Below are 12,304 nucleotides of genomic sequence, written 5' to 3' on the forward strand. Positions count from 1 at the left end.
TAATTATTAAAAAAAAAAATAGGTTAAAAGTTTTCTGACAGATCATGTCTTGGTTAACAGTTCTGCCATGAAGAATATCTCTTAATTCCTCTTTTATTGATTTCATTCTATTTTATAAAAGCTATCAAATAGTTACCTATTCACACTCATTTAATTTGAAAATTATTTATGACATATGTTGTTATTGAAACTTCAGAGGAGCCCTCTCTTATTTGGTGGTTCTGGATCAACCATTAGGGTTCAATGTGAGCCAACAGAGTTGTAGTGGGGGGGGTTTCATTATTGTTTTCACCTTTCTTATTTTATTTCTTTATTCCTTCTTTACCCACCTCCAACCTGCCTGCATAGGCAACCATTTAATCCTTTGTAAGCATGTAATCTTATTAAATGTATATCATTATTTTTTATGCTTGTGTTTTTAATTTTCACAAAGACTGGTGCATTATATAGCTAATTCTCTTTCTTGGATTTTTTTACTGAGCACAGTTTTTTAAAGATTTGCCTATGTCACCATGTGGACCTTGAGTCAGTGGCATCTAACTGCCATACAACATGGCGAGTATACTTCTTCACTCCCCTGTAATGAACATCCAGAATGCTTCTAACTTCTTACCTCCACAAATAATTCCCTACAAGGAATATACACATGTATAAGCCCCTGTGGATCTGTACAAAAATTACTATGGGACTTATATTCAGTAGAATAATTGATGTCTAAGAAGTTGCATGCTTTTCTCCAGAACAGCTCTGCAATCCCACCAGAGGGGCCTGAGCATTCCTAAATCCCATACAGTCGTCAGTGCTTTGCACTTTAAGTCAAGCTAAGATTGGTATAGTGAAATCAAATGGTGGTTTTCATTTGCATTTATATAATTATAAGCAATTTGAAAATCTCTTTATGTGAAGAGACTGTGGTCTTTTTCAATGCACGGAAGTCCTCAATTTTTGCTTAATCACAATGATAGACTTTTTGCCCTATGGTGTGCACTTTCCAAATTTTTTAATACTTCCCCATAACGTGATCACAGAGCTATTTTACTGACTTTTCTTCTGTTAACTTTACAGCTTTATATTGCACATGTAGATCTTTATGCCACCTAGATACCTCCTTTGCCTGAATAACTTAGCATATATTGTGAACAATAGTCTCAGAAGAGCAGATAGGTATAAATGTGGGAATGCAGCATTAAGAAAGTATAAGAGCAAGTTGTAATAACTGACAAGAAAATATATTATGTCAGGAAAAACAAATTGGTGAGAATTATTTTTAACAAATTCACCTTTTCAATGAGTCTATTTTCAGATTTGTGCTTGTGTATTATAAAAGGAACCCAAAGGTAAAGGCATTTTGCAAATAACTATATATGAATTCAAACAGATTTCTGCAGGTATTGTGATGGCAATATTATATTGAAAGTGGACTTATTATTATAACAACATATATATTTCTTCATATGAACCAAAACCTTATATTTCTCCACTCCACTATGCTTTTCCTCTCTCCTTTTAACTGACATACACATTTAGTATAAATTAGAAATTAATAAACTACACAATTTTTCCATGCCAATTTGCTTTTAAGCTTTACTCCTAATAGTAAAATAAGATAGATATTTAAAGGAATGTTAAGTACCAAGTCTGTCATTATTTAAGCTTTGAAATAATGTGTGAATATTTTATTTTTGAAAAGTAAAATACTGAATATTTTGTCAGATCAAACTTTCAGCATTGATACTTAATTGATAATGGCACTTAAAATTCTATGTGAAAAATAAGATAATTATTGGCTGGATTGGCTGTATATATAAAAATTAATTAAAGGAATTATGTGGAATATAAGAAATATGCCTATTATTAAATATATTAAAATAAATTTATTAAAATATTTTTAAATATTTGTAAGTGTTAATACACTGACATATTCACATACCCTCAAATTTTTCCTTTATCTTACTTTCATTTATGTATATAGAATGAGAACATTGATAATAACTATGACTGTTGAAAGTTACAAAAAAGTTTAAATAACTTTAGCAGAAACTATTTCAAAAGTAAATTAAATACAAAAAGTTAAATTAAATTTGAACATTGTGAAAACATTTCAGAGCAAATTCTAATAACTGGGCATATGGTTTTCTCTGCTATTATGTTTGTTTCTTAACGTAGAAGGAAAGATTAAGACAGTTTCAGAGGCACATGAAATATAAAAGATTTACTTTAGGAATGAAATATTGCTTTAAAATAATTGAACTTGCAATTTCATTTCCTTAAATTTCTAGCTCCCAACTAAATATTTTAATTTATTAGTTGTTTATCTTTAATCATAACTTTATCCTTATATACCAGACATTTAGAATTTTTTAATGATTTTATACTTTTTTAATATGGGGGGATTTTATTTTATATACCAAGAAAAGTGCTAATTAAGTAAGTCTGGTTTTTAGGTTTCTGTGAGCACAAGTATCCCATAGTTGTGTGTGTATGTACATGTACCTGTGGTGTTTCTCCTTGTTTGTATGTAATCTTTAAATCCAACTTCTGGTTAGCTTTGAAATGAATGAAGAGGTATACTATATACTAATCTGTTCCTTTTTACAAGCCCAAAGCACAGCTGCTGTTGTGGAAGTAAAAGCTCTCACTGTGAGATCGGTGTGTCCAGGACGTGACTCCTACTGGGTAGCAGGGTTAGTTGGTTGATGATGTGTGTGAGAGATTTTCCCCTTCTGCCAACAGAGCTTCACATGGATTTCTTTTTTCTAAAACTAAACATATTATCAAAGACAATGACCTTCACAGATGGAGACAGACTTGCTTTTCAGTAAGGGACTGACAGCAGTGATAATTCCCTGACAGAATTTGTAAGCAAACTTATGAAAAATATGCCTGTGTTGGCAATCCAATAAAATAAAATTAACCAATTAACCTGTTATTTTGTTCACTATTGCTGCTTTAACATGTTACTACAAACATTGATGTGTTAAACAACACAAGCTTATTATATCACAGTTCTGGAGGTCAGAAGTCTGACACAAGTCTCACCGAGCTAAAATCAAGTCATCATTGGGCTTCAACAGAGCTCTGTTCCTCTGTAGAAGTACTGGATAGATCTCTTTCTTTGCCTTTCCCAGCTTCTAGAGGATGCCTGCATTCCTAGGCTTGTAGTCCCCCTTCCTCCATCTTCAAAGCTAACAAAATGTAATCTAGCCCTTTCCACATCGTTTCGCTTGGCACTCTTCCATAGGCATATCTCTGCTAACTCTTCTGCTGCCCTCTTCTGTGTCCTTTCCATCTTCCACTCCTAAGATCTTCTCTCTCTAATACATTGGGCCCACCTTAATAACCCAGACTAATCTCCCTGTCCCATGGTTAGCTGATTGGCATCTGTAATTTCACTTGTAACCTCAATTCCACTGTGCAGTGTCACTTAACATATTCAAAGCTGGGGATTGGTACATGAGTATCTTCAGGGTGCCATTATTCTGCCTCTGCTATGTAGCAGAAACTGATATTTCAGGAGACGTATAATACCTGCTCAAAAAAAGTTAATCTTCATCAATATTTAATTATTGTATTTACTTGTTAATTAATCAAATTTTATTTTAGAATCTTAACTGGAGGGTAACTGATATGCAGTACAAAGAAAATAAGCGTGTGATTTCCTCACTCTCTTAAGATCTACTGCCTACAGCAAGTTCCTACCAAAACAAAATAAAACAAAAAGAAATTCTATAAATGATTGCTATGTATCTTTACGTTTAATTTTGGAAAAATGATATGAAGTTTATAACTGATAAATGCTATTAAAATATTTCCTGATGTATTCATCAAATTTTGCTAGAATTTTACAAGGACCTTGTATCCTTCCCCCTACCACTACTGTCTCTCATATTCCAACTTATCTTCCACACTGCTCGTGAAATTATTTTCTTAAAAAGAAAATTCTATCATGCCACCTTTTTTTCTTACATTTGCCTTTTACTGCTGGATTTCTCAACTTGCCCTAATAGAGCCCAATGGAGAAAGAAACATGTGCTAATAACATATTCTCAAGGTAAGCTTATAAAGGTGTTTCTCTTTCAAACACTTCCATTCACTGAAAGCAAACAGCTTATAATGAATCTGTAAGTTGATAAATACCCATCTTGTTCTTTATTACAGTAATTAGCATGGCATGTAAGATCGGCAGAATGAATCACTTTTCTGTTTTAAATTATAAATATCTCCTAACATATCTGTGTCCCTTTCAAGGCAAAGGGTGAATTGGAGTAGACACTGTTATCTGACTCTGGTATGTATTTCCGCACCTGTCATTAAAACATGGCATATAGCATGATGCCTCAGCTTGGGAATAAGAATACCTGAATTTTAGTTAAGGTTCTGCCACTACCTATTTCTGTAATGATAAACAAATTGCTAACTTGTTCTTATTTATATAATAGGAATAATAATAGCACTCACCTCATAAGGTTCTATTCATAAGTAAAATAACATTTGCAAGATATAAAGTGAAGGGAAGTGGGGAGGGGGGATAAAGTAGGGATGATTAATGCGTACAAGAATGTAGTTAGATAGACCGAATACAATCCAGTATTTGACAGTACAACATGGTAGCTATAGTCAACAATAAGTTATTTTATATTTTAAAACAACTGTAAGAGTGGTATTGGACTGTCCCTAACACAAAAGAATAATAAATGCTTGAGGGGATGTATACCCCAATTACCCTAATGTGCTTATTATATATTGTATGCTTATATCAAAACATGACATATACTCCATATATATATATATACACATATATATATACACCTATTATGCACCTATATGATATAGTTTGTATATGTGTCCCTGCCAAAATCTCATGTTAAATTGTAATCCTCAGTATTGGAGGTGTGGCCTGGTGGGAGGTGATTGGAGCATGGGGTGGATTTCTTATAGATGGTTTAGCACTATTCCCTTGGAACTGTCCTTAGTGAGTGAGTTTTTGCAAGATCTGGTCATTTCAAAGTGTGTGGTCCTCCTCCCCACTCTCTCTCACTTGCTCCTGCTTTCCCCATGTGATGTGCCTATTGCCCCTTCACCTTCCATCATAATTGTAAAGTTTCCTAAGGCCTCCTTAGAAGCTGAGCAGGTGCCAGCACCATGCTTTCTGTAAAGCCTGCAGAACTGTGAGCCAATTAAACCTCTTTTTAAAATGAATGGCCCAATCTCAAGTATTTATTTATAGCGATGCAAGAATGGCCTTATACAGCACAATAAAAATGTAAATATATATATATATATATATACACACACACATACAGTGCCGGCTGGGCGCAGTGGCTCATGCCTGTAATCCCAGCGCTCTGGGAGGCCAAGGCAGGTGGATCACAAGGTCAGGAGTTTGAGACCAGCCTGGCCAATATGGTGAAACTCCGTCTCTACTAAAAATACAAAAATTAGCCAGGTGTGGTGTTGGGCACCTATAGTCCCAGCTACTTGAGAGGCTGAGGCAGGAGAATCACTTGAAGCCAGGAGGCAGAGGTGGCAGTGAGCCGAGGTCGTGCCACTGCACTCCAGCCTGGGTGACAGAGCGAGACTCTGTCTCAAAAACAAACAAACAAACAAGAATATATATATATATGTGTATATGTATGTATATATATGTGTGTATATATATATACACTCACTGTATATATATATATATACTCACTATATACACTATATATATATTCACTGTATATATATATATATATATACATAGTGCCTTTATCAAGGATTTTTTTTCGAGTTTCATGGATGAACCAACAAACAAATTAATACATGATGAAATGAACAATATTGACAAACTTTTAGCTAGATTACTAAAAAAAGAGACAAGACTCAAATAAATAAAATCAGAAATGAAAAAGAAGATATAACAACTAAGACAACAGAAATACAAAGAGACTGTTATAAAAAATTACTTGCAAACAAATTCGATAAGCTACATGAAATGGCTACATTCCTAGACACATACAACCTACCAAGCCTGAATCATAAAGAAATGGAAAACCCAAACAGATCAATAATGAGAAAGGAGATTGAATCAGTAAGAAAAATCTCCCATCAAAGAAAAGCCTAGACCTTATTTCTTCACTACTGAATTTTATCAACTTAGAGAATACTCAATCTAATAAAAATTATTCTCACCTCCTTCCAAAAAAGTGAAAAGAATGCTTCCAAACTCATTTTAGGAGGCCAACATCACCCTGATACCAAAGCCAGAAAAGGGTACTACAAAAAAAGAAAATTACAGACCAAATTCCCTTATGAATATAGATGCAAAAACATAACAAGATACTAACAAACTTAATTCAACAGCACATTGAAAGAATCATTCACCACATTAAAGTGGGATTAATTCCAAGGATGCAATGATTGGTCAACCTGTGCAAATATATAAATGTGATATACCACATTAACATAATGAAGGACAAAATGTATGACAATTTAAATGGATACCGATAAAACATTTAAGCATTTAACAAAATTCAACATATTTTATGATAATAACTCTCAGAAAGGTATGTATAAAAAGAATGTACCTCAACATAATGTTATATATGACAAACCCACAGCTAACATCACACTCAGTGGTAAAAAGTTGAAACCATTTTTTTCTAAGATCAAGACAAGGATGCTCACTCTTGCCACATCTAATCAACATAATATTGGAGGTCTTAGCTATAACAATGAAGTGAGAGAAAAAATAAAAGGCACGAGGAAGTTAAATTGTTGCTGTTCACAGAATTCACCAAAAAACAATTAAAACTAATAAATGAATTGAGTAAAGTTTCAGGATGTGAAAATGAGTAGCATTTCTATACCTAAGAGTGAACTATATTAAAAAAAGAAATTTAAAAATTACATTTACAATGGCTTCAAAAAATGATATAATTATGAATAGATTGCAATCTAAAAATCTTTAGCATAATAAAGAAAATGATCAACAAAGTGGAAACACAACTTACAGAATGAGAGTAAAGTTTACAAACTATACATCTGATGAGGGCTAATACCCAAATTACATAAGGAACTTAAATAGCTCAATAGCCAGGAAATAACCCTATTAAGAAATGGGCAAAGGACTTGAAAAGACTTTTGTCAAAAATATACGCAAATAGCAAGCAGATATATGAAAAAAACGCTTAACATCATTAATCATCAGGAAAATGCTAACAAAAAGCATAATGAGATATTACCTCACATTTGTGAAAATGGTTTTTATCAAAAAAACAAAAGATAACAAGTGTTGGTAAGAATGTAGAGAAAACAGAACACTGCTCTGTTTTCAATGCATTGTTGGTAATAATATTAGTATGGCCATTGTGAAAAAGCAATATAAAGGTTTTCTCAAAAAAAAAAATAGGATTACCATGTGATCCAGCAATGCCACTACTAGATATACAGTCATCCCTCAGTATCTGTGGATATTTGATTCTGAGATCCCCATGGATACTAAAATATACAGATATTCAAGTCCCTTATAAACATGATATAATATTTGCATATAACCTGAACACATATTTTCACATACTTTAATGATCTCTAGATTACTTATAATACCTAACACAATGTAAATGTTATGTAAATAGTTGTTATACTCTATTGTTTAGGGAATAATGACAAGAAAGAAACGTCTGTATGAATTTAGTGCAGACACAATTATCTTTTTTTCTGAATATTTTCTTTTTTTCCAACCTTTATTGTAGGTTCCTGGGTGGAAGTGCAGGTTTGTTATATGGGTAAGTTGCAGGTCATGGGGATCTGTTGTACAGATAATTTTATCACCCAGGTAATAAGCATAGTGCCTGATCGGTAGCTTTTTGATCCTCACCTTCCTCCCACCCTCCACCCACAACTAGGCCGCAGTGTCTATTATTTCTTTCTTTGTGTGAATGTGTACTCAATGTTTAGCTCCCACTAATAAGTGAGAGCATGTAGTATTTGGTTTTATGTTCCTGTGTTAATTTGGTTAGGATAATGGCCTCCAGTTTCATTCATGTTTCTGCACAGGACATCGTCTCATTCTTTTTTTATGGTTGTATAGTAATCCATGGTGTATATATATCAGGTTTTCTTTATCCAGTTCACCATTGATGGGCAATTACATTGATTCCATGTCTTTGCTGTAATGAATAGCACTGCAGTGAACATTTGTGTACATGTGTCTTCATGGTAGAATGATTTGTATTCCACTGAAAATAAATCCCAGTAATGGGATTTATGGGTCAAATGGAAATTCTGTTTTAAGTTCTTTGAGAACCGTCCAATGTGCTTTCCACAGTGGCTGAACTAGTTTACATTCTACCAGCAGTATATAAATATTTCCTTTTCTAGACAACCTCGTCAGCATTTTTTTTCTGTTTTGACTTTTTAATAATAGCCATTCTGACTAGTATGAGATGGTATCTCATTGTGATCTTGATTTGCATTCTTTTAATGATTAGTGATGTTGAGTATCACTTTATATGCATTTTGGCCATACGTATGTCTTCTTTTAAGCGGTATTTGTTCATGTCTTTTGCCCATTTTTTAATAGAATTGTTTGTTTGTTGCTTGTTGATTTGTTTAAGTTTCTTATAGATTCTGGATATTAGATCTTTGTTGGATGCATACTTTGAAAATATTTTTTCCATTCTGTAGCTTGTCTGCTTACTCTGTTGATAGTTTCTTTTGCTGTGCAGAAGCTCTTTAGTCATTAAAGTCCCATTTGTCAATGTTTGTTTTTGTGACAATTGTTTTTGGTGTTTTTGTCATGAAATTATTGCCAAGGCATATGCCCAAAATGGTATTCCCTAGGTTTACTTCTAGGATTCTTACAGTTTTAGACTATATATTTAAGTCTTTAATCAATCTTGAGTTGATTTTTGTATATGGTAAAAGGAAAGAGCCTGGTTTCAATCATTTGCATATGGTTAGCCAGTTTTCCCAGCAACATTTAATAAGGAATCTGTATTAGTCCATTCTCATGCTGCTGTGAAGAAATACCTGAGACTGGGTAATTTACGAAGGAAATGGGTTTAATTGACTCATAAATCCACAGGCCTGGAGAGGCCTCAGGAAACGTACAATCATGGCGGAAGGGGAGTCAAACATCATTTTTCACATGGCAGCAGCGGAAGTGCCAAACACAAGGGGGAAAAGCCATCATATCTTGTGAGAGGTCACTCACTATCACAAGCACAGCATGAGAGTTACCACCCCCACGATTAAATTACCTCCCACCAAGTCCCTCCCATGACATGTGGAGATTGTGGTAACCACAATTCAAGATGAGATTTGGGTGGAGACACAGCCAAACCAAACTATTTCACCCTTGGCCCTTCCCAAATCTCATGTCCTCACATTTCAAACATAATCATGCCCTTCCAACAGTCCCCCAAAGTCTTAACTCATTCGATCATTAACTCAAAAGTCCAAGTCCAAAGTCTCATCTGACACAAGGCAAGTCCCTTCCACTTATGAGCCTGTAAAATCACAAGCAAGTTAGTTACTTCCTAGATACAAAGGGGTACAGACATTGGGTAAATACACCCATTCCAAATGGGAGAAATTGACCAAAACAAAGGCCATGCAACTCCAAAATCCAATAGGGAAGTCACTAAACCTTAAAGTTCCAAAATTATTTCCTTTGATTCCATGTCACACATCCAGATCACACAGATGCAAGAGGTGGGGTCGCACAGCCTTGGGCAGCTCTGCCCCTGTGGCTTTGCAGGGTAAAGCTCCCCTCCTGGCTGCTTTCGCAGCCTGGTGTTGAGTGTCTGTGGCTTTTCCAGGTGCACAGTGCAAGCTGTTGGTGGATCTACCATTCTGGGGTCTGGAGGATGGTGGCCTTCTTCTCACAGCTCCAGTAGGCAGTGCCCCAGTAGGGACTCTGTGCGGGGGCTTGGACCCCACATTTCCCTCCTGCACTCCCCTAGCAGAGGTTCTTAATGAGGGCTCTGCCCCTGCAGCAAACTTCTGCTTGGACCTCTGGGCATTTCCACACATCTTCTGAAATCTAGGTGGAGGTTCCCAAACATCAATTCTTGACTTCTGTGTACACACAGGCCCAACAACACATGTAAACCACCAAGGCTTGGGTCTTGCACCCTCTGAAGCAATAGCCTAAGCTGTACTTGGCCCCTTTTAGCCACGGCTGGATCTGAAGCAGCTGAGACACAAGGCACCATGTCCCAAGGCTGCGTAGAGAAAGGGGGCCTTGGGTCCTGTCCATGAAGCCATTTTTCCCCACAGGCCTTCAGGCCTGTGATGGGAGGGACTTCTGTGAAAACCCCCAACATTCCCTGGAGACATTTTTCCCATTGTCTTGGTGATTAACGTTCAGCTCATCATTACTTATGCAAATTTCTGCAGCCAGCTTAAATTTCTGTCTAGAAAATGGGGTTTTATTTTCTGTCATATTGTCAGACTGCAAATTTTTCAATCATTATGCTCTGCCTCCTCTCGAATGATTTGCCACTTAGAAATTTCTCCTGCCAGATACCCCAAATCATCTCTCTGACGTTCAAAGTTAGATCTCTAGGGCAGGGGCAAAATGCTGCCAGTCTCTTCACATAGCAAGAGTGACCTTTATTCCAGTTCAAGAAAAGTTCCTCATCTTCATCTGAGACCACCTCAGCCTGGACATCTTTGTCCACATCATTATCTGCATTTTGGTCAAAGCCATTCAACAAGTCTCTAGGAATTTCCAAACTTTCCCACATCTTCCTGTCTTCTAAGCCTTCCAAGTCTCTAGTAAGTTCCAAACTTTCCCAGATTTGCCTGTCTTCTTCTGAGCCCTCCAAATGGTTCCAACCTCTGCCTGTTACACAGTTCCCAAATTATTTCCACATTTTCAAGTATCTTTACAGCTGTGCCCCACTCTGTGGTACAAATTTATGGTATTAGTTTGTTCTCATACTATGAAGAAATACCTGAGACTGGGTAATTTATAAAGGAAAGAGGTTTAATTGACTCACAGTTCCACAGTACTGGGGAGGCCTCAGGAAACTTACAATCATAGTGGAAGGGGAAGCAAACACATTCTTCTTTGCATGGTGACAGCAAGGAAAAATGTTGAGTAAAATGGGAGAAAGCCACTTATAAAACCATGGGATCTTGTGAGAATTCACTCACTATCATGAGAACAGCATGAGAGTAACCACCCCCATGATTAAATTACCTCCAACCAAGTCCTTCCCATGACACATGGGGATTATGGGAACTATTACTCAGTATGAGATTTGGGTAGAAACATGACCAAACTGTATCAGAATCCATTCCCCATTGCTTGTTTTTGTGACTTGGTTGAAGATTAAATGGCTGTAGGTTAGTGGCTTTATTTCTGTGTTCTATAATCTGTTTCATTAGTCTGTTTGATTTTGCATGAATCCATACTCTTTTGTTTACTGTAGCCTTGTAGTGTAGTTTGAAGTCAGATAGTGTAATAGCTTTGTCTTTTGTTTGTTTGCTTTGGATTTTGTTTTTTGTTTTTGATTTTGATATTTGTTTTTGTTTTTGCTTAGAAGTGCTTTGGCCATTTAGGCTCTTTTTTGGTTCAGTATGAATTCGAGACTAGTTTTTTTTTTCTAATTCTGTGAAAAACTGGGAGTTTGATAGGAATAGCATTGAATCTTTAAATTCTTTGGGGCAGTATGGCCATTGTAACAATATTGATTCTTCCTGTCCATGTGCATGGGATGTTTTTCTATTTGTTTGTGGTATATCTGATTTCTTTCATCAGTGGTTTTTAAATCTAGTTGTGGTGATCTTTCAGCTCCCTTGTTAGTACTCTAGGTATTTTATTCTATTTTTTTGTGGCTATCATAAGTGGGACTGTGTTCTTGACATGGCTCTCAGCTTGGATGCTGTTGGTGTATAGAAATGCTACTGATTTTTGTACACTGATTTTGTATCCTGAAACTTTCCTGAAGTTTTTTTCAAATCTAGGGGCTTTTGGGCAGAGACTGGGGTTTTGTAGGCATAAAATTATGTCCTTGGCAAAGAGAGATAGGTTGACTTCCTCTCTTCCTATTCGGATGCCTTTTATATTTTATCTTGCCTGATTGCTCTGTCTAGGACTTCCAGTACTATGTTAAATAGAATAGACAAGTGGGCATCCTTGTCTTATTCCAGTTCTTAAGGGGAATGTTTCCAGCTTTTCCCCGTTCAGTATAATGTTGGCTGTGGGTTTCTCATAGATGGCTCTTATTATTTTGAGGTATGTTCCTTCAATGCCTAGTTTCTTGAGGGTTTTTAATGTAAAGGGATATTTAATTTAATCAAACTCTTTCAT

Source organism: Homo sapiens, chromosome 6 (genome assembly GCF_000001405.40).
Source record: "Homo sapiens chromosome 6, GRCh38.p14 Primary Assembly".
Lineage (NCBI taxonomy): Eukaryota > Metazoa > Chordata > Mammalia > Primates > Hominidae > Homo > Homo sapiens.